This window comes from Homo sapiens, chromosome 19 (assembly GCF_000001405.40).
Source record: "Homo sapiens chromosome 19, GRCh38.p14 Primary Assembly".
Classification (NCBI taxonomy): domain Eukaryota; kingdom Metazoa; phylum Chordata; class Mammalia; order Primates; family Hominidae; genus Homo; species Homo sapiens.
The window spans coordinates 16447274-16474422 of record NC_000019.10 but is presented as its reverse complement, the minus strand read 5'-3'; the positions used below and the strand labels follow the sequence as shown (position 1 = coordinate 16474422).

Sequence of the window (27149 nt, the reverse complement as noted above, 5' to 3'; positions counted from 1 at the left end):
TGGGGTTTCACTGTGTTGGCCAGGCTGGTCTCGAATTCCTGACCTCGTGAACTGCCTGCCTCGGCCCTCCAAAGGGCTGGAATTACAGGTGTGGGCCACCGCGCCCAGCCAAGTTTGGATTATTTTTACAAGATGATGCTGGAGAGTTTCTATGGCCACCACCATTCTAGACTCTGATACTGGCACTTAAAGCCTGCATGCTACATTTCCTGGACGCCGTTGCCAATTGGCAACGTTCCTGTCATGCTTTATTAGAACAAAGTTGGGAGGCAGAAAGAGGGGAGAAACCATTTTTTCAGACTTCTGCCAGTGGCTTAGGTGGTGGTGACAACAACAACTGTGACTTTCGCAATCATGGTGGAGGCAACTGTGGCTAGCAAGGGTGAACACATCTGGGATCCTTCTGTAGGCACAGTGATTGTGGGTTATGGGTCCTCCTGTGCTTTATTTATTTATTTATTTTGAGACGGAGTTTCGCTCTTGTTGCCCAAACTGGAGTGCAGTGGCGTGATCTCAGCTCACTGCAACCTCCGCCTCCCAGGTTCAAGTGATTCTCCTGCCTCAGCCTCCCGAGTAGCTGGGATTACAGGTGCCCACCACCACAACCGGCTAATTTTTGTATTTTTAGTAGACACGGGATTTCATCATGTTGGCCAGGCTGGTCTCAAACTTCTGACCTCAGGTGATCCATCCACCTCGGCCTCCCAAAGTGCTGGGATTACAGGCGTGAGCCACTATGCCCAGCCACCTCCCCTGCTTTAATCTTTCAGCTCTAGAGAGGCTAGCAGCCTCATATAGTTATGAATCTTTAGGTAAACTTACCTTCCTCTTTTGTTCTTCCAGTACTTCCAACACTTTTATACTCAGTCCCCTGTAGTCGTTTATGTATTCATTTATTTTTATTTATTTATTTTTTAGACAGAGTCTCGCTCTGTCACCTAGGTTGGAGTGCAATGGTGAGTTCTCAGCTTATTGCAACCTTCCCCTCCCAGGTTCAAGCAATTCTCCTGCCTCAGCCTCCTGAGTAGCTGGGATTACAGGCACCTGCCACTGCACTGGGTTAATTTTTGTATTTTTAGTAAAGATGGGGTTTCTCCATGTTGGCCAGGCTGGTATCAATCTACCTGTCTCAACTGGATTGCTGGGATTACAAGTGTGAGCCACAGAGCCTGGCTCAATCCCCTGTATTCAATATCCTCTGTTTGAAGTACCTAGAAGGACTTCTCTTTTCCTTATGGAATACGTACTGATAAAGCACTCAAGACTGTTAAAAACCTTCATTACTCTATTGATGTAACAAAAGAAGCTGAGGCAAAGTTAATATAAGTAGAGAGTTTGGGCCAAGGTTGAGGACCGCAGTCCAGGAGACACAGATTCAAGTTGCCCTGAATGTATGCTTTGATTAGCAACAGTTACAAGTGGGTTCTTTTTGTTTTTGACTTTGTTTTGAGACAGAGTCTCACTCTGTCACCCAGGCTGGAGTGCAGTGGTGCAATCTTGGCTCACCGCAACCTCCACCTCCCGGGTTCAAGTGATTCTCTGGCCTCAGCCTCCTGAGTAGCTGGGACTACAGGCATGCACCACCACACCTGCTAATTTTTGTATTTTTTTTAGTAGAGATGGGGTTTCACCATATTGATGTTTCACCATACTGGCCAGGCTGGTCTCCAACTCCTGACCTCATGACCCTCCCACCTCGGCCTCCCAAAGTGCTGGGATTACAGGTGTAAGCCACTGTACCTGGCAACAAGTGGGTTCTTGTCTTATTTATTTATTTATTTTTGAGACAGAGTTTCGCTTCTGTTGCCCAGGCTGGATTGCAATGGTGTGATCTTGGCTCACTGAAACCTCTGCTTCCTGGGCTCAAGCAATTCTCCTGCCTCAGTCTCCTGAGTAGCTTGGATTTCAGGTGCCCGCCACCACAGCCAGGAGGACGCCTTGCGGGGCAGGGTGAGGGGGGCAGGGTGCGGGTCCCCCAAATTAGCGCGCACACACACACACACACACACACACACACACTGCGATCCTAGGAACAGGGCGCTTTGCGGGGCAGGGTGAGGGTCCCGACCCTCCGCGGGGTGGGCGACCGCCTCCCCAGGCGCACTGGCAGGGGGACGGCATCCCTAACAGAGAACCAGGCCTCGGCATGGGCTGGAGGGATGACACAGCATGGTCGACTCGGACAGCGGCCAGCGGCATGAGAGTCCGAACAACGTTGGAAGGAGGAGTAGGGGAACGGGCAAGAGAGCACGGAAGACGCAGATGCCTCAGGCCCAGCCCCTCCAGGCTGCGTGTGGGCGGCCCCGCCCCTGCCCCCGCCCCTCCCGGCCTGACTGCACATGCGTGGCCCTGTCTACGGCCCCGCCCTCTCCCGGGACAGGCGGCCTGCGCACCGCCCTCCCGTCGTCCCAGTGCGCACGCGTGGCTGCAGCCCCGCCCCCGTTCCCCCGGCGCTCGGAGCCCGAGTCCGCGGGAAGATGGCGGCGCCGCTCATCCCCCTCTCCCAGCAGGTACGGGCCGGGCGGGCCTGGGGGCGGCGCCGGGGTGCGGGGCGCGAGGCGAGCGGTGCGGCGAGGCTGAGGCGCTGGGAGACTCAGCCAGGCGGCGGCGGGGGCGGCGCGTGCTGAAGGGCTTGCGGCGGGCGGGTGGGCAGGCGGCCCTGAAGGTGACAGGCCGGGACCCGCGGCCTCCCGTGCCCGAGCGACCCTCGCGGGCACCGGCGAGGCGAGGAGGTGCGCAGCGCGTGTCCTCTCCGCCCAGGGCCCGGACCCTGCCGCCGCTGAAGCTCCCAGGCCGGGGACCCGCGGAGGCGCTGGGCTGCATCCCGGAGGGGTGGGCGAGGGGTGCGAGCGTTTCTGTCGGCGCGGCGGCCCAGCGAGTCTTTGTCTCCCTCCGGTCCCGGCGCCCGGGCGGGCAGGGTCCCGCCGGAGCCCGGACCCGTCAGCAGCAGTGCGATCTCAGACTGATCCCCTGCCTCCTTGGAAGCTGCTTCCGCCACCCCTGCACCGGGCGCAGATCGTACGTCTCCGGGCGCCTCTCTGTGTCCTCAAATTCGCCTGATGCGCTTATGAAGGGGCAGTATCGATAGCGCGACACAGACATGCGAAAAAGAGCCATGCGTAGGCAGCTCTGTTATTTGGGAGAGACTTTCATTCATTCATTTTCTATCCATCCCTCAAATGTGCGTTGGGTCAGGTGCTGGGAGCGCTGCATTCTTCCAGACAGACAAGGTCGCTGCTTTCCTGGAGGTGACACTCGTGGGAACTAGAAACTACCTGTGTTATGCTAATCACAGCTGCCTTTATTTGCTGAATACCTGTGTTGTGCAAAGCACCATATAAGCATTTTGCTAGAATGATCTAGCACAGCATGGTGATTAAGAGTGAGGACACAGGGTCAGATCATGTGTTCAAATCTTGGCTCCAGCCCCGATTTCTCTGTGCCTTTGGTTGAAGCTCTTAGCCATTCCACCCATCAGTTGCTTCCTTTGGAAAATGGAGATATAAAAATGTGTTGGGATTATGTGAAAATTAAGCACGTGAAAAAGCGCTTAGAACAGTGCCTAGCATATGAGAGGCACTCAGTGATCCTATAATTACTGTCATCATTTAATCTCTGCCAGATTTGGACGTTTGGGAGTAGAGACCGCAGCAATTAAGAATTCCAAACCCAAAGAGAGTTGATAGGCCGGTTGCATGCTTGCATGACTGGTTAGCTGATCCAAGGAGAGAGAAGTGCACAGCTAGCCAATTTGCAACACTGTCACTAAGTTAACAGTGCTAAAACCCGGTGATTATTAATTAGCAAGTTCTTGTTACTGACATGAAAGTGCTCTGTAAACTGTTAAGTGTCCTACCGATAATAGGTGTTAATAGCTAAGTGCTACAGTTTAGAGTATGTAGTCAGGGGGTGGGGGGCGGGGAAGGCGGGAGTCGGGGGAAAATCACCTAAGATCATTTCATGAGAAAGCACTAAGCACTCCCAGTTTGGGAGGCGTGGATCTTTCTAAAACTTCCTGTCCAATTTTTTTTTTTTTGAGATGGAGTATTGCTCTGTCACCCAGGGTGGAGTGCAGTGGCATGATCTCAGCTCACTGTAACCTCCGCCTCCCGAGTTCAAGTGATTCTCCTGCCTCAGCCTCCTGAGTAGCTGGGACTACAGGCACGTGCTACCACACCCGGCTAATTTTTGTATTTTTTTTTTAGTGGAGACGGGGTTTCACCATTTTGGCGAGGCTCGTGTCAAACTCCTGAACTCGAGTGATCCACCCGCCTTGGCCTCCCAAAGTGCTGGGATTACAGGCGTTAGCCACTGCGCCTGGCCAGGTCACTGACTTCTTAGCCTCTTCCTGTTCCTTTCCCTATACATTTGTTGAATGAAGGCGTGGCCTGGTTTTCTTCGTTTGGAAATGTCAGCACTTCTTTACACTTGCTCTCGAGTGAAAATCTACACCATGGGTTACTGTTGGCCCAGGTGTGAGGCATGGCCCTCCCAGGCCCTTACTGTCTAGCTCAGGAGATCACTTGGGTTCACAGATAACTCTGGGGGAACCAAGGGTATAATTCCAAAATTTTTGGTTGGGGGCAAAAGGGAAGCACCCTGCAGCAGGTGGCTGTGATCTGGTTGGATTTAGGTGACAGAGCACACTTGGCAAGCAGATGGCCAGGTGAAGGTGAGCAAAGTGGATAACCCAGCGGGCTAGCCTAGGGGAGGAGGGGTGTGTTTTCTCCACCCCCACTCCTGTCTGCACTTTTCCCATCAGCATCTTTTTCAGTCTGTTCTGTACTCCATGACATCATCTCAGAATCTCCTTCCTTATATACTCTTTTCTGACCCTGAATATCAACGTAAATTCGAAAGGTCTGCACCTCTGCCTCTTTAGGAGTGATTTTTTTTTCCCAACAGCATCTCAGTGATTTGTGTGTCTCCCTGTCCCCCTGCTCAGCTCTCTTCTGCTTTCCAAAAAGCCTTCCGTGGAAATGCATCCAGATCTCTTTCCTCCTTGTACTCCCCGAGGTTACCGGTGGCCCCTCCGTCCTTAACCCCGGTGCCCTGTGGCTGCAGCCGATCCTCCTCGAACTCCGCAACACTGGAGCCCGTCGGTCTTCACTCTTCATCCTCTCTCCTTTCAGTCTCTCCTTCTTGTCCCCTAATTTCAGCCTCCCTACCTGCATCTTATCTCTCTGTGCGCTCCCTCCCCTGGAGCTTCTGTGCAGAGGACTTCAAACCTGCCTTCTAGAGTCCAGAAGGTGTCTCTCTCCTGCACCTCTGCCAGCCTGCTGGACTCTGGAATGGGCCATTTCCTTGCCATGCCCCAAAGTGGTCTGGGCCATTCTACTTCCTACTTGCCCACTCCCTCCCACTTAATCCCACGCCACTGTGGAAGTCATCTTTTTGATTTTTGAGACAGGGTCTCGCTCTGTCCCCCAGGCTGGAGTGCAGTGGTAGGATCATAGCTCACTGCAACCTCAAACTCCTGGGCTCAAGCAATTCTCCCACCTTGGCCTCTCAAGTAGCTGGGACTACAGGAGCGCAGCACCAATCATACCCAGCTAATTAAACAATTTTTTTTTTGAAGAGATGAAGTCTTGCTATGCTGCCTAGGCAGGTCTTAAACCCCTAGCCTCAAGCAATCCTTCTATCTCAGCCTCCTAAAGTATTGGAATTACGGTGTCAGCCACTGCATCTGGCTAGGATTCATCTTCTAAAACATATTCCCCTGTTCCAAAAACCTTTCACAGCTCCCATTCCCCTTCCTCCAAAAGAACTCAGTTTATGGCTGGGCGCTGTGGCTCATGCCTATAATCCCAGCACTTTAGGAGGCTGAGGTGGATGGATTGCTTGAGGCCAGGAGCTCGAGACCAGCCTGGCCAACATAGCAAAACCCTGTCTGTACTAAAAATACAAAAGTTAGCCAGGCATAGTGGCAAACGCCTATAATCCCAGCAACTTGGGAGGCTGAGGCACAAGAATCGCTTGAAACCAGGCGGCGGAGGTTGCAGTGAGCTGAGATCGCGCCACTGCACCCCAGCCTGGGCAACAGGGTGAGACTCAGTCTCAAAAAAAGTCAGCTTTGATGACCTTAGTAAGCCCTGAATCGACTCCACCTAACCTTGCTGGGTCCCTTTCCTGCACTTCTGGCTCTTGGCAACACTTTCTAGCCTCAGCATCCTTAGCTGTGTTGCTCCGGTTGCTAGAACATCACTGTGAGCTCCTGCCGTATGCTGCCTGCCCTGAAGGACGGTCTTTGAGGCCTCCCCTGTGTTGTCCTCCCTTAGCCCCACCCGAATGAGAGTTCTCTCCCTTGTACCTTCCGTGGGTCCCTTTTGTGACCGCTGTACCTAGGAAGCGCGTGGTAACTGGGCTCAGTGATGAGGAGAGACTGCCCTGGGCCCAAAGAGCTACACCTTCCTCCTTTCCCCCTTGTTATGTGTTCTTCATCCAGGAGCTTTTGCTGTATTTCAGTAGGTGCCTCCATTCTAGGAGGCTTTTATTCCCCTTTTACAAGTGAGGAAACCAAGACCCACAGAAATAGAGTAACTTGCTGAAGTCTCATAGTTGGTGGGCGCAGAGCTGAGGTCACACCTGCGTCCTCCTGCCGCAGAGCCCTGCTGTTCCAGATGGCCTGCTGGGCACCTCTCCCAGAGCAGCACCCGGCCAGTGTGTCTGGAATGAATGCTGAGTGGCTCGGACACTTACTTGTCCTCTTGTCCCTTGTTTCTTTTCTTCCTCTGAAATAAGTGCTAGTCTATCTTAGTAGAATGCTAATGGCAATGCAGTCTAAATTGATGAGAACGAAGTTTTAGAGTAAAATCCACTCCTGAAAGATCCAGAATTCCCTGACTGTCACTTATTGACCTGCACTGGCCTGTTTTTTTTTTGTTTTTGTTGTTGTTGTTGTTTTTTCGACTAAATAGATTCTCCCTGGGCAAGACCCCTCCACCTCCATTCTGAACTTTAAAACAACTTTCCAGGCCGGGTGCAGTGGCTGACGCCTGTAATCCTAGCACTTTGGGAGGCTGAGGCAGGTGGATCACCTGAGGTCAGGAGTTTGAGACCAGCCTGGCCAACATGGTGAAACCTCATCTCTACTAAAAATACAAAACATTAGCCTGGCGTCCTGGCGGACGCCTGTAATCCCGGCCACTCGGGACCCTGAGGCAGGAGAATCACTTGAACCCAGGAGGCGGAGGTTGCAGTGAGCCAAGATCACTCCACTGCACACTCCAGCCTGGGCAACAAAGTGACACTACGTCTCAAAAAAAAAAAAAAGAAAAGAAAAGCAGGCACCATCAGGTGCAGTGGTGCCTGCTTTTCAATGTTTAGGTCCTTAGATGTTTGTTTGGATTCCCAGATATTCCTTCACTGCCCTCAGTCCTGCAAATACTTTCTGTACCTTAGTTTTCTCATCTGCAGAATGGTACTGTGGACTCGCTTGACCTGCTTTGTCACAGTAGAGTGTCAGGACCCTGCCGTGTGACGCATGTGCTCTCAGTGCTTTCCTTTTTTTTTTTTTTTTGAGACAGAGTTTCACTCTTGTCACCCAGGATGGAGTGCAATGGCGCTGTCTTGGCTCACTGCAACCTCTGCCTCCTGGATTCAAGCGATTCTCCTGTCTCAGCCTCCTGAGTAGCTGGGATTACAGGCGCCCACTACCACACCCAGCTAATTTTTGTATTTTTAGTAGAGATGGAGTTTCACTATGTTGCCTAGGCTGGTCTCGAACTCCTGACCTCAAGTGATCTGTCTGCCTCAGCCTCCCAAAGTGCTGGGATTACAGGCAGGAGGCACCGCGCCTGGCCCTCATGCCTGCCTTTTGTAGATCACACTGTTCGTTCAGTGAGTATTTATTTGGCATCTTCTTTTTGCTGGACACTTTCTGGGCAGTGGATGGAACAGTGAATCTGAAGGCAGTGCCGCCTCACGGGGCTGACATCGTTGGGAGGGGCCCAGATATAAAGAAATGAGCCCAATGTGTAGTGCATTCGGTGGGGATTGATGCTGTGAGATGAGTAGAGCAGGGCAGGTTCCGATCTGATGATGGAGGTCAGGAAAGGTCTCACCACCAGGCTGGAAGGACTGAGTAAAGAAAACATCATAGATTGCCTGGTTCATCCTCCCGGTCACTCTGGCCAGTATTATCTTCAGTGTATAGGGGCAAGAGGGGCAGATCACTGGAGGCCAGGAAGGGCAGATCACTGGAGGTCGAGAGTTCAAGACCAGCCTGGCCAACATGCTGAAACCCTGTCTCTACTAAAATACAAAAATTAGCCAGGCGTGGTGGCACATGCCTGTAGTCCCAGCTCCTCAGGAGGCTGAGGCAGGAGAATTGCTTGGACCTGAGAGGTGGAGGTTGCAGTGAGCCGAGATTGCACCACTGTACTCCAGCCTGGGTGACAGAGCAAGACTCTGTCTCAAAAAAAAAAAAAAAAAAAATAGATAAAGTGAGGCCAGAGATTGTTACGTCCCTTGCCCAAGTTTGTACCCAGTGAGCTCAGGCAGACATGGCTTTTCTGACACAGGTTCAGGCCTCTTCATTGCACCATAGTTTCTTGTCTTGGAAAGTTATTTTTTTGTTTGTTTGTTTTTAAGTTTATGACATCTCCTAACCTCATTTGTTTTTATACCTAGTTATTAGATATCATGTAGTCTGAGTTTTTATTTTATTACTTTAATCTCATCTCATTAAAAGGTAGAGAGGGACATGGAAAGGCCTGCTTATTGTCTTCCTTTTTCCTTTAGAGACAGGCTCTTGCTCTATTGCCTACGCTGGAGTACAGTGGTGCAATCAAAGCTCATTGCAGCCTCGACTCTTGGCCTCAAGTGAGCCTCCCACCTCAGCCTCTCAAGGAACTGAGACTACAGGCATGCAACACCACACCTGGCTAATTTTTAATTTTTTTGTAGAGACAGGATCTTGCTATGTTGCCCAGGCTGGTTTCGAACTCCTGACCTCAAGTGATCCTCCTGCCTCTGCCTCCAAAGCGCTGAGATTACAGGTGTGAGCCACCACTCCCAGCCAGTTGTCTTTAGGAGAATCCAAAGGTTTCCCTGCCAGAGTGGTAATCAGTGCTCCTGGCCCATGCAGAATTGAGTTGTCCAGGCCCGGCCCACAGCAGAGGCTCAGGTCACGGGTGGTCCAAGCTGCAGGAGGGGCAGATGACTGGCTTCCATTTGGGTGTTGGACATGGTTGTATGGAGGAGAGGGCGTGTTTGGTGTAGGCCAAGCTTGTCCAACCCATGGCTGCATGTGGCCCAGGATGGCTTTGAATGCAGCCCAACACAAATTTGTAAACTTTCCTAAAACATTATGAGGTTTTCTTGTGAATTTTTTTTTTTTTTTTGAGACTAAGTCTCGCTCTGTTGCCCAGGCTGGAGTGCAGTGGTGCAATTTCGGCTCACTGCAAGCTCCGCCTCCTGGGTTCATGCCATTCTACTGCCTCAGCCTCCTGCGTAGCTGGGACTACAGGCACCCGCCACCACACCTGGCTAATTTTTTGTATTTTTAGTAGAGACGGGGTTTCACTGGTTAGGCAGGATGGTCTCGATCTGACCTTGTGATCTGCCCGCCTTGGCCTCCCAAAGTGCTGGGATTACAGGCGTGAGCCACCATGCCCACCCGTGAATTTTTTAAAGCTCATCAGCTATCATTAGTGTTAGTGTTAGTGTTAGTGTTAGTGTTAGTGTTAGTGTATTTTATGTGTGGCCCAAGACAATTCTAGTGTGGCCCAGGGAAGCCAAAAGATTGGACACCCCTGGTCTAGGCCATGGGGAATAGCCTTTCACACGGAGGCAAAGAGGACTGAGCCAGAGCTGAGAGGCTGCAGGTCTAGGTCAAAGGGCCAAAACATGCGGCTGGGACTTTGGGGTTCATGTCCTTCCTTTAATTTAGGCAGCTCAGGGATGAGAGGAGGAAGGTCTTTTGGTAAATAAGACGTGAGAGTTTGTGTCTGGGCTACAAATCGGCCGAACTGACAGGATGTCTGCTTGCCGAGAGAGTGGCCAGTGGCTGGTGGGGGCTGAGGAGCTGAGACCTGCCCACTGTCCTTCGCGCTGGACTGGGTTTTACCGCTGGTCAGAGTGGTGGCCCTGAAGTTTGCTCCTGCATGGAGTGCAGACCATTAGCTCTTAAAGCTTCTTTGGGCTTTTCCCTTCATAGGAGTCCCAGCTCTTGATACTACAAGCTTTGGGGTGAAAGTAAAGGTCACAGATGACCACAGACATTTGTCTCGGATTTCCATCTGCACTGCCTGTGGTGTGGAATGTAGACCTGATAACAGAATCTGTTTACTGACTGCCTGCAGGTCAGGCTGACATAAAGTCACTTCTCCTCCTCTTGGGCACACCAGCCAGGCTGGATCAGGCGCTGCTACCGGCAGCTGACAGCACACCTGCTCCCCGTGTTTCCCAGGCCTGCAGTCCTCATTCCCTCTGCTCTGTGGCCCCCTGGCCCCTCTTTCTGTCATCTGCGCAGGCGATCCTTCATCTTGCCTCAAGGCGTTTGCATCTGCTATTCCCTCTCTCTGGAATGCTCTTTCCAAACCCTTCATCCTCTGGTGAATCCCTACACCTTTTCATATCAGCTGGGGCATCACTTCCTCAGGGAAGCCTTTCCTGACAAACTGGCCCAGCATCTCTGTTACCACTGGTGGAGATGGACACCTTTTCCATTTAGCCGTTTATAATTTTCTCTTTGCGGGGTTGATTGATGGTCTGTCTTCCCCAACCACCTAGACTAGGTCCACAAGGGCAGAGACTGTGCCTGTTTTATTCATCCTTGTTTGCCAGGCTGCAGCTGGCACTCAGGTGCTCAACAATCATCTGTTGAGGGAAGAGTAGCATGGGCCACATTATGAGAGGCAGTAGGGAGCTATGGCAGGTTCTTGAGGAGTGACACCTTTAGATGATCTGGCTGCTTACACAGGGAGTGCTTGGAGCTGGGTTCTAGCTCCGAGACAGTCTCTGTGATATGGGCATGAAGTGATCAAGAGGAACCTGGCCTGAGGTTGTTTCAGGAAGAGTAGAAAGGGCTGGGGGTGAAAGGAATATGTGGGGTAGCTGTTTGGACAGGTGAGGGTCTAGGTGGGAGAGGAAGCAGGGGGAAGAAGCAGGCATAGTGTCTGCAACCGTCAGGTTGAGGCCACCTTCAGGGAGCCAGGACAGCAGCAGTGGGAGTGCCTGGTGGGCAGAGCCTGGTGGGCTGTGGCTGTGTCAGTTGAGTCAAAACCCATCACTTTGCAGGAAACCCTCCAAGCCACGTGAGACCCCACATTTAGGTACAGTCAAAAAGAAGACCAGCTCTGGGGCTGGGGCACCATGAGATTCTGTCTGCTGAGCTACTGTGTGCTGTCTTGGGACCAAGATAAATAAAACCGAGCCCCACCCTCCAGGTCAGCTCAACTGCAGCTGGGCACCCAGGCACACAGAAAATTAGGACATAGTGTGACACACTCGTGGAAGTCAGGTGGCACCCACAGCGGTGGGATGAATCACCTCCACTGGGCTGGGAATAAAGGACAGGAGGAAGAGGGCGCCTGTGCCTCCTTTTGTCTTTTCCCTCCTCTGTTCCAACAGGCCTGGAGGAAGCAGCTGGGTGCAGCCTCTCTGACTGGCTGTACACTGCGTGGACCAGTGTCCTGCCCCCACCCTTTGCACAGGCCCTGTCTCCCACCACCATCTTCACAGCTTCCTGGCCCCCTCTCTGCCTTCTCAGAGTCCCACTTCCCTGATTCTTTGTTTTACTTTATTTTTTCTTGAGGTGGAGTCCCGCTTTGTCACCCAGGCTGGAGTGTAATGGCATGATCTTGGCTCACTGCAGCTTCCGCCATCTGGGCTCAAGCAATTCTGCCTCAGCCTCCCAAGTAGCTGGGATTACAGGTGCACACCACCAAGCCTGGCTAATTTTTTTGTATTTTTGTATTTTTAGTAGAGACAGGGTTTCACCATGTTGGCCAGGCTGGTCTCGAACTCCTGGCCTCTAGTGATCCACCCACCTTGGCCCCCCAAAGTGCTGGGATTACAGGTGTGAGCCACCATGCCCTCCCCCCCACTTCCCTGATTCTGGTAACCTGGTCTCCCAGAACAGGTGGCAACGGGACCCCAGCCCTGGTGGTACCCTGACTGCCCTCACCAGTGAGTGGGCCCAGGCAGGCAGCTCTGGGCCCTGGGGAGAGATTTGGGGCACAGGTCTGATGCAGGAGTGAGGGAATGTTGTGGGACCAACAATGGTGCCATTGTCCCTGTGCTTGTTTCTAGATGAGGAAACTGAGAGGGAGAGAGGTAAAACAACTGGTCAGACCCCCATGGAGAACAGGCGTCTGAATCAGACCATGGGCTCCAAAGCCACCATTTTGTCCTATGATTGCCACACCATGGGCTCCGGGAGGGTCGAGGAGCTCTGTCTTTCCTGCTCCCTGCTGGGTTCCCAGCCCCTGAAATCTGGGCTCCTGGCACATAGTAGGCTGGTGATATCTGTTGATTGGAGGCTGGGTACTTGGAACAGCAGCCAGGAGCGCAGTCTGTCTCTCCAGCTGTCTTTGAGGGTAGTTGACAGAAGGGAACGTTTTGTCTCTTGGGTGAAGAAACAGGCACAGGGCCCAGAGCCGCCTGCTCGAGCCCACTGGCCGGTGACAGCAGTCAGGGCACCACCAGGGCTGGGGCCCTGCTACCTCCTCACCTCCGCTCATCAGAGGGTGAGGAAAGGGCTTTCCTCTTGTGTAAGTGACATCAACAAGTGTGCCTCTGTCATTACGCCAATCTGTAGAAAACTGGCTTTTCTTTCTTTCTTTCTTTCTTTTTTTTGAGACAGAGTCTCACTCTGTGACCCAGGCTGGAGTGCAGTGGCGCGATCTCAGCTCACCGCAACCTTTGCCTCTTGGGTTCAAGTGATTTTCCAGCCTCAGCCCTCCGAGTAGCTGGGACCACACGTGTATGCCACCACACCCTGCCAATTTTTGTATTTTTTGTAGAGATGGGGTTTCTCCATGTTGCCTAGGCCAGTTTCGAACTCCTGAGCTCAAAGCGATCCACCTGCCTCGGCCTCCGAAAGTGCTGGGATTGCATGTGTCAGCCACTATGCCCAGCTGGCTTTTCTTTCTTTCTTTTTTTTTTTTTTTTTAAGAGACGGAGTCTTGCTCTGTCGCCCAGGCTGGAGTGCAGTGGCGCAATCTCGGCTCACTGCAAGCTCCGTCTCCCGGGTTCATGCCATTCTCCTGCCTCAGCCTCCTGAGTAGCTGGGACTACAGGCGCCTGCCACCACGCCCGGCTAATTTTTGTATTTTTAGTAGAGACGGGGTTTCACCGTGTTAGCCAGGATGGTCTCGATCTCCTGACCTCATGATCCGCCCGCCTCGGCCTCCCAAAGTGCTGGGATTACAGGCGTGAGCCACCGCGCCTGGCCCCAGCTGGCTTTTCTTAATCTGAAGAGGACGTGCTTTTCAATTTTATATTTTCCAGTGGAAGAGAAAACTATCTCATTTCACACTCTCCAAAGGGGAAAGATGAAACACGAAAAAACTTGATGATGAGGCCCTCACACTGAGCGTGTTTAACCAGGACTGTACGGTTATGGGGATGGACTGTCCCCCTCAATTCCCCCCACACCCTACAAATGGCACTGTTTGTGGTTGGGGGGTCCCAGACACGATTGGCCTAGGCGCATGTTCTTGCAAACGTTCTTCCCTTTGAGTTTTTTCTTTGCTGAGAACTAGAACGCTCTGTGCCCGCGGCACCCCCGTGCTGGCTTTGGAAACTTTCTCTGTGGGTCGAGGCTTCTGGAGTGGAGGAGCAGGCTCCACAATTGCTGATGGGCTGGGCAAGGTTGTCCATCACCAGGGTGCAAATTGTTGCTGTTATTTTGCTTGCTCACACCAGGCCATGGAGTTGGCATTTTCTTTTAGGCCAGCCTCTGAGTTGGCATTTATAGTCAGTTGACTTTATTGATTTAATTTGTTGTTGTTGACTCTTAGCCACTAGAAAATGTCCTTTAATTCACATTTAATGCACATTTAAAATGTCCTTTAATTCACACTAAGTGGGTTTTTACAGGTGTGTACTTATCTGCTGTGTGTAAAATTGTATTTTTTTTAAGAAAATGACAGCTGAGACTAAGAGAATTGGTGAAACACTGTTCTTTTTTTATTTTTAGAGACAGGCTCTGTCGCCCAGGTTGGAGTGCAGTGGTGCCATCACGGCTCACTGCAGCCTCAGACTCCTGGGTTCATCCTCCTGTCTCAGCCTCCTTAGTAGCTGGGACTGCAGGTGCTCCTCAGCACACCACCACGCCCAGCTAATTTTCTGATTTTTAATTTTTGTAGGGCTAGGGTCTCACTGTTTTGCCCAGGCTGGTCTTGAATTCCTGACCTTAAGGGATCCTCCTGCCTTAATCTCCAAAGTGTTGGGATTACAGGCCTGAGCCACCATTCCCAAACTGAAATATTGTTCTATCCTAGATGTTGGGAGCTGCTTAGCTGTTGAGTTGAGAGAGCAAATGGCTACCATATGTACCATAGTGTAGCCAACATTTGTTGAAATACTTTATTGCTTGGCAAAGATCAATTGGCAGGGCAGGCTATAAGGACTGTGATTTTACACCTGCAACTCACGTGCTGATTCACAGCCTTGCCTGACCTCCCTCCCCGCCCACCATTCTTTGTAAATACGGCCTGCTCCCCTGTCTCAGGAATAATAATACAAGAGTAACCATAATAGGGGATGTAATAATGGCTTCCCATTGCAGAGTGTATTTCACTTGCATATTCTCATTTGGGACTTACCAGCATCCTCAGGCCAGGTGCTGTCTATTCTCATTTTACAGATGGGGACACTGAGGCCCAGGGTGGCTTGGTGGCTTGTCCTCACTGCTACTGAGCCACAGAGCTATGTCTGCCCGCTCCCCACTACCAACTGCACCTTCCTGCACTCAGCCCACCACCTGCCTCCCTCAACACTTTAATCTCACCCATGCCCTCAACAGACATTTACTGAAGGCCTGCTTCTAGGAGGGCACAGCGTGATCCCTCCACCCTCCAGGCATTAAGAATGTAGTGAGAGGGGCCGGTCATTACAGCAGCTTTTCCATCAAATCAACTTCAGGAAGTGTCCCTTGTCAAAGTTTGGGGCTATGGGAGTGTGGAGGCAGGAGGGACTTATTTCATTTGGGGGAACCTAGGGTCATCTTAGAGCAGGGCGTTGGCCTGCAGCAGGCAGCGGCCCCAAGCATAGGGAATGCAGTCACGCACCGCATAACCATGATGGACTGCATATGTGACAGTGCTCCCGTAAGATTATACTGCTGTATTTTTCCTGTGCCTTTGCTATGTTTAGATATGTTTAGATACGCAGCTACTTAGCATTGTGTTACAGTTGCCTGCAGTTTTCTGTACCGGGCCACGCTGCCCAGGTTTGTAGCCTGGGAGTAATAGGCTAGACCACAGCCCAGGCGTGGAGCAGGCGCTGCCTTCTAGGTTTGTGTAAGTTCACTCCAGGATGTCCTCACGACGATGAAATTAACCTGACGATGCAACTCTCAGGACGCATCCCTGTAGTTAAACGATGCATGACTGCATCTTGTGCCAAGACAAGGAGTGAAAGGTGCCCGATATGTTCAGTAGAGCTCTGCCAGCCGGGGGAAGGAGGTGAGACTTGAGTGTGATATATGTGAGTGTGAGTGTATGTGGGTGAGCCTGAGTGTACATGTGTGATTGTGTGTATGTGTGTGTGGCTGAGTGTGTGTGAGTGAGTGTGTGTGTGGAGTGAAATCAGCCCGGCAAGGTAGGAGATGGCCAGGGAGCACTTTCAGGACTGGGCTCAGGGCTTGGACCTTAGCCTCCGTTACACACCCTGAAGAGCCTTTCTGAGCAGAGGAGTGGCTGTGTGCGAGGTGCAGTGGGGAAGCGGGTGAAGGCAGGGCCGTGGGTGAGGAGGCTGGGCCAGGCTCTGTAGAGGCATGTATGGGGCAAGCGGGGTGGGGGCGGGGCGGCCCTCCCATCAGGACAGAGCCCCTGTCCTTGTCCTTGTCACCCCTGCTGTGCATTTGCTCTTCTGTGTTGGTGTGTGTGTCAGCTCACTGGCTTTGATGCCCTGACTATGATGCTCCATGGTGGCAGCAACCATCTTTCTGCTCACTGTGGGGTCCGGGAGCCTCGAGGGGTGCCTGATGTTTAGAGGGGCCAGAAAAAGAACAGTGCACTAGGAGGCTGACGCTGTCACCCACAGCGATGAGGAGGAAGGTGGCATGGCACTGACCTGGCCAGTGCAGGGGATCTTGGCGTCCTTGGCAGGGAGCCACCCCCCACTGTCAGGAACACCCCGACAGGAGGCCAGACCCATCCCAACCGAGTCCTGGGCAGTGTGCTCTGTTAGGGAGTAGTAGATGGCAGGGACATTGGAGCCCAGGAGTAGCTGATGCAGGAAAGGAATGTTGGGAAGGCCCGGGGTACACTTTGGAAAGTTGGGAGACTCTGGGAAGTGGGCCCTTGTGGGAGGCGGTGGGTGTTCCTGCTGCGGAGGACACACTGCTGAGTCATTGAGCCCCTCTCGGTGTTCCCCCCTCCCCCCCAGTCTTGGGTGACTGCTCTCCCATGTCTCTCCAGGGAGACCGCTCATGGGTCAGAGGAAGGAAACAGATGGAACTGAATAGGTCTGTTCTCTGAGATGCCCGGGAGGGGTGATGTCCAGGGGACACAGGTCAGCAGCTGGGAGGGCTGCTCAGAGGCTTCATCTGCTTTTGCTCTTAAGCAGCGTTTTCAGGAGGGAGGGCTGGAATCTGTTCCCCTCCTGCCCGGGCGCCATTCCAGTTCCATCCCTTCTGCCCTCTGCATGGCTGCACAAGACCCTTGAGCCCTTCCCTACACGCCCGCCCCTCCATCCCTCCAGGACCCAGCTGCCCTGGTATTTCCTGTGGTGGAGCCTCCTCCCTCCCTCCCCGTGGCAAGCCTGTCTCTGGCACTGCTTTGGTGCGGGTGCTCCACAGCCTCGCTTGACTGAGTCTCCCTGGACAGGCTCAGCCATGGAGGGGGGGCCTTCCAGGTCTCCTGGTGCCCTGGGTGTATGTCTGCTGCTGGCTGCGGACTGGCCCTCCATCCTGTCTCTTCCATCTAGCTCTTGGCAGCCGTCTCTGTGCTTTGTCACAGCTCCATGAGGCTGTGGGTGGGGAATGTCCCGTTGTTCACCTCCACACCTGCACCAAGGTGTCTAGAATGGCAATTAGATTTCCACCTCAATGCCCCTGGGGACATCCCAAGGAAACACATTCGTTTTTAGGGAACTGGCATGTCCTCCTTCTCCGGGTGTCTGCATTGTGAGTCGCTGCAGTCCCCAGGCTGCTGGAGTTCTGCTGCTGGAGGGCCATGGCAGTCTCTCTCTGATCACTTCCTTCCAGCCCTGCTCCTTGCAGCGGATTTCTGCCGTTTACCATCTCATATGCATATGCGCCCACCTTGCTGGCCTGCAGGCACCCCCTCCCCATGTTCTGCTTGCCCTGGGGATGACATCCTGTCTTTTCAGCACAGCGTGCACAGACCCTGGCATCCTATGCACATGCCCTTCCACCTGACTGGGGCCGTGCTGAATCACCCACAGCTCACCTGTCTTCTCTGTCCCGGTGCACACCTGGCCCCAAGCCCTGAGTTCCCCTCACTGTGCCTACTGCTGCAGTCATATCATGCGGTCCCCTGTGCCATAGTCCTGGGCTGACTTTGTCCCGCCTGCCCTTCCTGAAGCCCAGGACTCTATTTTTTGTTTGTTTTGTTTTTGTTTTTGTTTTGAGATGGAGTTTCACTCTTGTCACCCAGGCTGGAGTGCAATGGCATCATCTTGGCTCACTGCAACCTCTAGCCTCCTGGGTTCAAGCGGTTCTCCCGCCTCAGCCTCCCAAGTAGCTGAGATTACAGGTACCCGCCACCACGCCCAGCTAATTTTTATATGTTTAGTAGAGATAGAGTTTCACCATGTTGGCCAGGCTGGTCTCGAACTCCTGACCTCATGTGATCCACCCACCTTGGCTTCCCAAAGTGCTGAGATTACAGGCGTGAGCCACCACGCCTGGCCTGAAGCCCAGGACTCTGTCCTACACACTTTTGTATCCTCAGTGCTGCCTCTTAGCACGAGTTCAGCATGTGTTGATTGAGTGAGCAAACAAATAAATTTCCAGGTCCAAAGAAGGGAGAGCTGGGGAATCCAAGGGTGGACCCTTTTTCAGGAGGGTTTTTTGTTTGTTTGTTTGAGACAGGGTTTTCCTCTTGTTGCCCAGGCTGGAGTGCAATGGCACAACCTCGGCTCGCTGCAACCTCTGCCTCCTGGGTTCAAATGATTCTTCTGCCTCAGCCTCCTGAGTAGCTGGGATTACAGGCCTGTGCCACCATGCCTAGCTAATTTTATATTTTTAGTAGAGACAAGATTTCTCCATGTTGGTCAGGCTGGTCTCGAACTCCTGACCTCAGGTGATCCACCCGTCTTGGTCTCCCATATTGCTGGAATTATAGGTGTGATCCACTGCGCCTGGCTTTCAGGAGGTTTTATGCGAAGGGTGGGGGGAGGTCAGTAGCTGGAGGTGGAAGAGAGATGGAGGGATGTTTCTGGGGAGAGGGTACATTTTTACCTGGAGCCAGTGGAAGGAGGGCGATGAGGAGGATACCAGGAATCACAACAGCCGGTGATTGACAAGTCCCCGGGGGTGGGAGTGCTCACCCTCATCTCCAGATGCAGAAGCTGAGGCACAGAGAGGCTGCTCGTCCTGCCCCAGGGTTGCACAGCATTCCAGCAGCAGGACAGGACTCAAATCCACATTTGTCTGGCAGCACTGTTGACCTCCACATGAGACAGCTTCTCTTAGTGAAGCAAGATGGGAGAACACAGCCCATAGGTGTAGATGGAGCTGGGCAGTCTCTCCTGAAGACGTTTAGGGCTCAGCATAGTCCTGCATCCTCCACAGGGCAGTGCATCGAGGCAGGAAGCCTGCTGCAGGCAATGTTTTTTCTCCAGCAGTTCTGTTTCTGGAATGCTGAGTTTGGTGCTCATGCCTGTAATCCCAGCACTTTGGGAGGCCAAGGCAGGAGGATTGCTTGAGGCCAGGAGTTCAAGACCAGCCTGGCAAAATAATGAGACCCCCCCAATCTTTACAAAAAAAAGAAAAAAAAAATTAGCCACACATGGTGGTGCATGGCTATGGTCCCAATTACTCAGGAGGCTAAGGCAGGAGGATCACTTAAGCCCAGGAATTTGAGGCTACAGTGAGCTATGGTCGTGCCACTGCACTCCAGCCTGGACAACAGAGCTGTCTCTCTTTTTTTTTTTGAGATGGAGTTTCGCTCTTGTTGCCCAGGCTGGAGTGCAATGATGTGATCCTGGCTCACTGCAGCCTCTGCCTCCCTAGTTCAAGCAATTCTCCTGCCTCAGCCTCCCAAGTAGCTGGGATTACAGGTGTGCGCCACCACACCTGGCTAATTTTATATTTTTAGTAGAGACAGGCTTTTACCATGTTGGCCAGGCTGGTCTCAAACTGCTGACCTCAGGTGATCCACCCACCTTAGCCCCCAAAAGTGCTGGGGTTACAGGTGTGAGCCACCATGCCTGGCCCAGAGCTGTCTCTTAAAAAAAAAAAAAAGAAAAAAGAAAGCTTTCAAACCTTGATTCTGTGTTCTGACGACCTTCCTGGTCCATGTCATTGACCTTGCTGCTTTGCTGCATGTCTAAATGCTCGGGGCAGTTCTCTTGCTTGTTGGTTCCTCTCCAGGGCAGCGACTGTAGGCCTTACCCCTGTGCCATGCCCCACTGTAGGCCCTGAGTTCTGTCTGGTTTGGATGGAGGCCTTGAGCCCCGAGCATGTTCGTCTTCTGCTGGTCTCACAAGGCACTCATTTGGGTCCCTGGGGAGAATCCATGAAAATTCCTTCAGATCCTGCTTTTCCTTGCACATCTTTCTATTTCTGTCTAATTTACAAAAGCAGCTCATGCTGACATAGTACACCAGGGAACATAGGAAGCCATGAGGAAGCAAACTAGCTGGCCCGTAGAAATCCTGGTAAGCATGGCCCTGTCCCGCCAGGTTCCAGTAGCGGGGCGATAGGATACCGTGTGCTTATAAGCCAGGTCACACACTGCACCTGCTAGATTGCCCCCTTCTCATTTAGCAAGCTGATGAAGATTGGACCCCATTTGTAAACATTCTGCTGTTTTGATGGCTGTAAGGTATTTATTCTGTCCCATGGAGACTCAGCAATTTATTAGCAGCTTAACCAGTCCTCTGCTGTTTCCAGTGCCTTGCAGTCTGCATCTGTGCCCTCAAGGGGGGAAAACAGCGAACCCTCTTACCCTTCCCCCACTCCTGCATCACTTCTCAGTCTCCCAGGAGCAGACCTTGTAGCCATGGTAGGGCACACTTGTGTGTGTTCTAAAGGAATGCCAGTTTGTATTGTTTCACAGAAGCACGATCCTGTCACCAAGCTCTCCTCATTTGTCACACTTAAACCTGACGCAGCTTGTGCCATTAGGGTCCTTGCCAAGGCAGAAGCACATCAAATGGCCTTTTTTTTTTTTTTATAGGAATTCTTTTTTCTTTCTTGGATTTCAGCTTTTTTTATTGTAGATACAGAGAGTACATGTGCATATTTGTTACATGAGAGTATTGCATGATGCTGAGGTTTGGAATACGGATCCTGTCACCCTGGTAGTGAACATAGTACCCGATAAGTCATTTTTTTTTTCTTTTTTTTGAGATGGAGTCTCGCTCTGTCGCCCAGGCTGGAGTGCAGTGGCTCGATGTCGGCTCACTGCAAGATCCGCCTCCCGGGTTCACGCCATTCTCCTGCTTCAGCCTCCCGAGTAGCTGGGACTGCAGGCGCCTGCCACCACGCTGGGCTAATTTTTTGTATTTTTAGTGGAGACGGGGTTTCACCGTGTTAGCCAGGATGGTCTCGATCTCCTGACCTCATGATCCGCCCACCTCGGCCTCCCAAAGTGTTGGGATTACAGGCATGAGCCACTGTGCCCAGCCCAAATGGCCTTTAAACACATTAAAAGTTGATGGCTGGGCATGCTCACACCTATAATCCCAGCACCGTGGGAGGCCCCGGTGGGAAGATCTTTTGAACCCAGGAGTTAGAGACTGGCCTGGGCAACAAAGCAAGACCCCGTCTCTACAAAAAATAAAAAATAGTAATTAGCTGGGTGTGGTGGCATGCACTTATAGACCCAGCTACTTGGAAGGCTAAGGAAGGAGGATCCCTTAAGTCCAGGAGGTTGAGGCTGCAGTGAGCTATGATGGCACCACTGTACTCTAGCCTGGGTGACAGAGCAAGTCTCTGTCTCTATGAAAAATAAAATAAAGCCCGGGCGCGGTGGCTCACACCTGTAATCCCAGCACTTTGGGAGACCGAGGCGGGCAGATCATGAGGTCAGGAGATCGAGGCCATCCTGACTAACACGGTGAAACCCCGTCTCTACTAAGAAAAATACAAAAAAATTAGCTGGGCATGGTGGTGGGCACCTGTAGTCCTAGCTATTCGGGAGGCTGAGGCAGGAGAATGGCATGAACCGGGGAGGCGGAGCTTGCAGTGAGCCAAGATCGTGCCACTGCGCTCCAGCTTGGGGGACAGAGCGAGACTCCATCTCAAAAAAAATAAAAAAATAAAAAAATAAAATAGATGTAGAGGGAAGGGTTTAATGAATTCCCATGTACCCACTGCCCATTTACAACAGTTATCAATATTTTGCAGATTTCTTTGTACCACCCTTTGATCTTTTCCCCCACCTACGTATATTTTTAGTTCTTAGGTTTTTTTTTTTTTTTTTTCAGATGACATTTTGCTATGTTGTGCAGGCCGGAGTGCAGTAGCCATTCAGAGGCCCAGTGATCATAGCTCACTGCAGCCTGGAATTCCTGGCCTCAGGCAATCCTCCTGCCTTAGCTTCTCGAGTAGCTGGGACTACAGGCGAGTGCCACTACACCTGGCTCTGGCTTGTGTTTTTTTTTTTTTTTCGAGATGGAATTTCACTCCTGTTGCCCAGGCTGGAGTGCAGTAGCATAATCTCAGCTCGCTGCAAACTCTGCCTCCCGGGTTCAAGTGATTCTCCTGCCGCAGCCTCCTGAGTAGCTGGGATTCCAGGTGCCTGCCACCACGCTTGGCTAATTTTTATATTTTTAGTAGAGATGGGGTTTCACCATGTTGGCCAGGCTGGTTTAGAACTCCTGACCTCAGGTGATCTACCCACCTCAGCCTCCCAAAGTGCTGGGATGACAGGCGTGAGCCACTGCACCCAGCCTCCTGTTGTGTGGTTTTTTTTTTTTGAGACGAAGTCTCACTCTGTAGCCCAGGCTGGAGTGCAGTGGCGTGATCTTGGCTCACTGCAACCTACGCCTCCTGGGTTTAAGCATTTCTCCTGCCTCAGCCTCCAGAGTAACTGGGATTACAGGTGCACGCCACCGCACCCAGCTAATTTTTTTGTATTTTTAGTAGAGACAGGGTTTCACCATGTTGGCCAGGCTGGTCTTGAACTCCCAGCCTCAGGTAACTGCCTGCCTCGACCTCCCAAAGTGCTAGGATTACAGGTGTGAGCCACCGTGCCTGGCCTGTTTTTTTTTAATCTTAGAAATTGTAGGCCAGGCGCGGTGGCTCACGCCTGTAATCCCAGCACTCTGGCAGGCCGAGGCGGGTGGATCACGAGGTCAGGAGATCGAGACCATCCTGGCTAACATGGTGAAACCCTGTCTCTACTAAAAAATACAAAAAATTAGACGAGTGAGGTGGCGGGCACCTGTAGTCTCAGCTACTTGGGAGGCTGAGGCAGGAGAATGGCGTGAACCCGGGAGGTGGAGCTTGCAGTGAGTGGAGATCTCACCACTGCACTCCAGCCTGGGCGACAGAGCAAAACTCCATCTCAAAAAAAATAAAAAAAATAAAATAAATAAATAAAAGAAATTGTATTTCAACATGCACCTCTAACAGTTAAGACCGTTTTCCTTTACATAACCACAATGCCTTATCACACCTTACACAACTAATAATAACGCCTTTGGTATTGGTATTATCTGATAACAAGACCATATTCACATTTCCCTGATTGTCTGCAAATGTCACCTTGCATTTGGTCATTAGGTTTCCTAAGTCTTTAAAGAAAAAACAAAACTTCTCATTTTGAGATGATGGTAGACTCACTTGCAGTTGTTGGAGAGTCTGGGCGGGCGCGGTGGCTCACGCCTGTAATCCCAGCACTTTGGGAGGCCGAGGCAGGCAGATCACCTGAGGTCAGGAGTTCAAGACCAGCCTGGCCAACGTGGTGAGACCCGGTCTCTACTAAAAGTATAAAAACTAGCCGGGCACGGTGGTGGGTGCCTGTAATCCCAGCTACTCGGGAGGCTGAGGCAGGAGAATTGCTTGAACCTGGGAGGCGGAGGTTGTAGTGAGCCAAGATTGCACCACTGCCATCCAGCCTGGGCAACAGAGCGAGACTCTTGTCTCAAAAAAAAAAGAGCCTGTACCATTTATCCAGTTTCCTCTGAAGCAACATTTGCATAATGGTGGTACAGTATTGCATCTGGGATATTGATGATGATGGCTATGTTCAGGTTCTGAAGGAAGAGTCCTGGATTCTCTGGGGACCCAAATGACCACCTTGCGAGACCAGCAGAAGTTGGACATGCCCTGGCCAGGCGTGGTGGCTCACGCCTGTAATCCCAGCACTTTGGGAGGCTGAGGCGGGTGGATCACCTGAGGTCAGGAGGGCGAGACCATCCTGGCCAACATGGTGAAACCCTGTCTCTACTAAAAAATACAAAAATTTAGCCAGGTGTGTTGGCATGCATCTGTAATCCCAGCTACTTGGGAGGCTGAGGCAGGAGAATCACTTGAACCTGGGAGGCGGAGGTTGCAGTGAGCCGAGATCGCACCATTGCACTCCAGCCTGGGCAACAAAGTGAGACTCCGTCTCAAAAAAAAAAAAAAAAAAAAAGAAGATGGACATGCCTGGGGCTCACGGCCTCCGTCCAGCCCAGACAGAACTCAGGGCCTGCAGTGGGGCATGACACAGGGGTAAGGCATGCGTTCCCTGCCCTGGAGAGGAACCGAGAAGCAATAGAACCACCCCTGAGAGTTTAGACATTCAGCAAAGCAGCAAGGTGAATGACATGGACTGGGGAGGGCATCAGAGCACGGAATCAAGGTTTGAAAGCTTTTTTTTTCTTTTTTAAGAGACAGCTCTGTTGCCCAGGCTGGAGTGCAGTAGCACGATCATAGCTCACTGCAGCCTTGAACTCCTGGGCTCAGGTAATCCTTCTGCCTCAGCCTCCTGAGTAGCTGGGACCACAGGCATGTGCCACCATGCGTGGCTATTTTTTTTTTTTTGTAGAGATAGGGTCTTGTTGATAGCCAGGTACAGAACACGTCCCTCCTGTTGCCCTTTTATAGCCACACCCACTTCCCTCCCAGCCCATCTCTTCCTTATCCCCGGCAACCACCACTCTGTTCATTTCTACAATTTTATCATTTTAATGATGTTATGTGATGGAATTATTCAGTATGTAACCTTTGAGGTTTGGCCTTTGTCATTCAGCATAATTCTCTGGAGAGTCATCCAGATTATTGCATATGTGTCAGCTGTTCATTCCTTTTCATTGCTGAGTAGTATTCCATGGTGTGCTTGGACCACAGTTTGCTGAACCACTCACTTATTGGAGGACATCCGGGGTGTTACCAGTTTGGAGCAGTGACATATAAAGCTGTGGCCAACACTGCATACAGGATGTGGTATGAACATGACTCTTCATTTCTCCCGGGTAAATGCCCAGGACAGTTGCTGGTTCATGCGGTAGTTTCATGTTGTGTTTAGTTTTTTTTTGTTGTTGTTGTTTTAAGAAACTGCCAGTCTGTTTCCAGAGTCACCGTACCTTTTAACTTTCCCATCAGCAGTGTATGAGTGGCCCAGTTTGCCTGCATCCTCACCAGCATTTGATGTTGTCACTATTTGTTATTTTAGCCACTCTGATAGCGTGCAGTGGCATCTCACTGTGGTTTTAATTTGCATTCTTCTTTTTGCTAATGATGTTAAACATATTTTCATACGTTTATTTGCCATCTGCTATATTTCCTCTTTGGTAAAATGTCTTTTTGCCTTCAGATCTTTTGCCCATGTTCTTTTCTTCTTCGTGTTTTTTTGTTTGTTTGTTTGTTTGTTTGTTTGTTTTTTAAGAAATCAGATCTTGTTATGTTGCCCAGGCTGGTCTTGAACTCCTGGGATCAAGCAATCCTCCTGCTTTGGCTTCCTGAGTAGCTGGGACTACAGGTGTGCACCACGACGCCTGGCTAGTTTTTTAATTTCATGTAGAGATGGGGTCTCACTATGTTGCCCAGGCTGGTCTGGAACTCCTGGGCTCAAGCAGTCCTCCTGCTTTGGCCTCCCAAAGTGCTGGGACTACAGGTACGCACCACCATGCCTGGCTTGCCCATGTTCTAATTTGATTGTTTTCTTTTTTATGCTGTTGAATTTGAGAGCTCTCTAGTATATATTTTAGATAGTAGTCATTTGTTGGATATGTGCTTTGCAAACCTTTCTTTCTAGTCTGTAGCTTGCCTTTTCACCTTTTTATCTGGCTTTTTTTTTTGAGACGGAGTCTTGCTCTGTCACCCAGGCTAGAGTGCAGTGGCACAATCTCGGCTCACTGCAGCCTCTGCCCGCTGGGTTCAAGCAGTTCTCCTGGCTTAGCCTCCTGGGTAGCTGGGATTACAGGTGCACACCACTACACCCAGCTAATTTTTTTGTATTTTTAGCCATGTTAGCCAGGCTGGTCTTGAACTCCTGACCCCAGGTGATCCGCCTACCTTGGCCTCCCAATGTGCTGGGATTACAGGTGTGAGCCACCGCGCCCGGCCTTTCTCCCCCCCCCTTTTTTTTTAATACGGAATTTTGCTCTTATTGCCCAGGCTGGAGTGCAATGGTGCAATGGTGTGATCTCGGCTCACCTCAACCTCCATCTCCCGGGTTCAAGCGATTCTCCTGCCTCAGCCTCCCGAGTAGCTGGGATTACAGGCATGCGCCACCATGCCTGGCTAATTTTACATTTTTAGTAGAGATGGGGTTTCTCCATGTAGGTCAGACTGGTCTTGAACTCCCAAACTCTGGTGATCCTCCTGCCTCGGCCTCCCAAAGTGCTGGGATTACAGGCATGAACCACCACGCCAGGCCTTACATGGCTCTTTCACAGTGCAAACATAAAGTTTGTCTGCCAATCTTTCCTTTTGTGAATCGGGCTTTTGGTGTCAAGTCTAAGAACTCTTTGCTTTGCCCTAGATCCTGAGGATTATGTTTTACATTTGAATTCATGATCCACTTTGAGTTACATTTTGTACGAGGCATAAGACTTTTAGTTCGAGGCCCATGTTTTTCCTATGGATGCCGATTGCTCCAGTGCCCTTTGTGGAAAGGCTTTCCTTCCTCCTGAAATACTTTTGCACCTTTGTCAAGAAATCCACTGGGCAGATCTGTGTGTGTCTGTTTCTCAGATTCTACATTCTGTTCTGTGCATTACTGTCTGTGCCCGCCCCCTGCCAATACTCCACTGTCTTAACTACTCTAGCTATAGAGTCAGTCTTGAAATCAGGTAGACTGACTCTTTCCACTTTATTATTCTTTTTCAGAATTGTTTTAGCTTCTCTGCCTTTTTTTTTTTTTCCGAAGATGAAGTCTTGCTCTGTCGCTCAGGCTGGAGTGCAGTGGTATGATCTCGGCTCACTGCAGCCTCCGCCTCCCAGGTTCAAGTGATTCTCCTGCCTCAGCCTCCTGAGTAACTGGGATTACAGGCACCTGCCACCATGCCTGGCTAATTTTTGTATTTTTAGTAGTGATGGGGTTTCATCATGTTGGCCAGGCTGGTCTTGAACTCCTGACCTCAGGTGATTCACCCACCTTGGCCTCCCTAAGTGCTGGGATTACAGGTGTGAGCCAGAGTGCCTGGCCCTGTAATACTTAAATTACTAGTGAGATGGAACATTTTCTTTCTAACTTTGCTGCATCTCTTCTTTCTGAATTGCCTCTCTCTTTGCTCATTTTTAATTGAGATGTCTTTTTCCTTGTGATTTGGAAAAGCTCTCTTTTCACTTGCCAAGTCTTCTCCTTCTCTTGGTAACATTTACCTTAGCTCTGCTGTAGAAACCTCTGATG

General features: G+C 51.3%; 1 protein-coding gene across 12 annotated transcripts in view, besides 11 other annotated features; it reads left to right on the top strand.

Moving 5' to 3' along the window:
• Positions 2222-2621: a silencer, noted in NCBI's record as "silent region_10301". NCBI's record gives its function as "represses an Ori minimal core promoter by ATAC-STARR-seq in GM12878 lymphoblastoid cells {active_cell/tissue: GM12878}" and the evidence as "EXISTENCE:reporter gene assay evidence [ECO:0000049][PMID:35858748]".
• Positions 2222-3275: a biological region, named in NCBI's record as "H3K27ac-H3K4me1 hESC enhancer GRCh37_chr19:16581959-16582870".
• Positions 2364-3275: an enhancer, noted in NCBI's record as "H3K27ac-H3K4me1 hESC enhancer chr19:16581959-16582870 (GRCh37/hg19 assembly coordinates)". NCBI's record gives its function as "activates a minimal SCP1, AML or CMV promoter by ChIP-STARR-seq in primed H9 embryonic stem cells {active_cell/tissue: H9 hESC(primed)}" and the evidence as "EXISTENCE:reporter gene assay evidence [ECO:0000049][PMID:30033119]".
• The window catches only part of EPS15L1 (epidermal growth factor receptor pathway substrate 15 like 1), a 116766-nt gene continuing 92027 nt past the window's right edge, over positions 2411-27149 (top strand). For 10 of the 12 annotated variants that reach the window (NR_047665.2, NM_001438225.1, NM_001438226.1 and 7 more), the window contains exon 1: positions 2453-2510. Coding sequence is in view for 10 of the 12 variants with exons in the window: in NM_001438225.1 (NP_001425154.1) it covers positions 2478-2510 (33 nt within the window). In the remaining 2 variants the exon portion in view is untranslated. Of the gene's footprint in view, positions 2511-27149 lie in introns of all 12 variants that reach the window. The other 2 variants (NR_047666.1, XM_017027089.3) reach the window with 1 other exon arrangement.
• Positions 2682-2901: a silencer, noted in NCBI's record as "silent region_10300". NCBI's record gives its function as "represses an Ori minimal core promoter by ATAC-STARR-seq in GM12878 lymphoblastoid cells {active_cell/tissue: GM12878}" and the evidence as "EXISTENCE:reporter gene assay evidence [ECO:0000049][PMID:35858748]".
• Positions 2982-3131: an enhancer, noted in NCBI's record as "active region_14235". NCBI's record gives its function as "activates an Ori minimal core promoter by ATAC-STARR-seq in GM12878 lymphoblastoid cells {active_cell/tissue: GM12878}" and the evidence as "EXISTENCE:reporter gene assay evidence [ECO:0000049][PMID:35858748]".
• Positions 8823-9747: an enhancer, noted in NCBI's record as "H3K27ac-H3K4me1 hESC enhancer chr19:16575487-16576411 (GRCh37/hg19 assembly coordinates)". NCBI's record gives its function as "activates a minimal SCP1, AML or CMV promoter by ChIP-STARR-seq in naive H9 embryonic stem cells {active_cell/tissue: H9 hESC(naive)}" and the evidence as "EXISTENCE:reporter gene assay evidence [ECO:0000049][PMID:30033119]".
• Positions 11458-12125: an enhancer, noted in NCBI's record as "H3K27ac-H3K4me1 hESC enhancer chr19:16573109-16573776 (GRCh37/hg19 assembly coordinates)". NCBI's record gives its function as "activates a minimal SCP1, AML or CMV promoter by ChIP-STARR-seq in primed H9 embryonic stem cells {active_cell/tissue: H9 hESC(primed)}" and the evidence as "EXISTENCE:reporter gene assay evidence [ECO:0000049][PMID:30033119]".
• Positions 12126-12793: an enhancer, noted in NCBI's record as "H3K27ac-H3K4me1 hESC enhancer chr19:16572441-16573108 (GRCh37/hg19 assembly coordinates)". NCBI's record gives its function as "activates a minimal SCP1, AML or CMV promoter by ChIP-STARR-seq in primed H9 embryonic stem cells {active_cell/tissue: H9 hESC(primed)}" and the evidence as "EXISTENCE:reporter gene assay evidence [ECO:0000049][PMID:30033119]".
• Positions 17118-17876: an enhancer, noted in NCBI's record as "H3K27ac-H3K4me1 hESC enhancer chr19:16567358-16568116 (GRCh37/hg19 assembly coordinates)". NCBI's record gives its function as "activates a minimal SCP1, AML or CMV promoter by ChIP-STARR-seq in naive H9 embryonic stem cells {active_cell/tissue: H9 hESC(naive)}" and the evidence as "EXISTENCE:reporter gene assay evidence [ECO:0000049][PMID:30033119]".
• Positions 19320-19819: an enhancer, noted in NCBI's record as "H3K27ac hESC enhancer chr19:16565415-16565914 (GRCh37/hg19 assembly coordinates)". NCBI's record gives its function as "activates a minimal SCP1, AML or CMV promoter by ChIP-STARR-seq in primed H9 embryonic stem cells {active_cell/tissue: H9 hESC(primed)}" and the evidence as "EXISTENCE:reporter gene assay evidence [ECO:0000049][PMID:30033119]".
• Positions 20355-20855: an enhancer, noted in NCBI's record as "H3K4me1 hESC enhancer chr19:16564379-16564879 (GRCh37/hg19 assembly coordinates)". NCBI's record gives its function as "activates a minimal SCP1, AML or CMV promoter by ChIP-STARR-seq in primed H9 embryonic stem cells {active_cell/tissue: H9 hESC(primed)}" and the evidence as "EXISTENCE:reporter gene assay evidence [ECO:0000049][PMID:30033119]".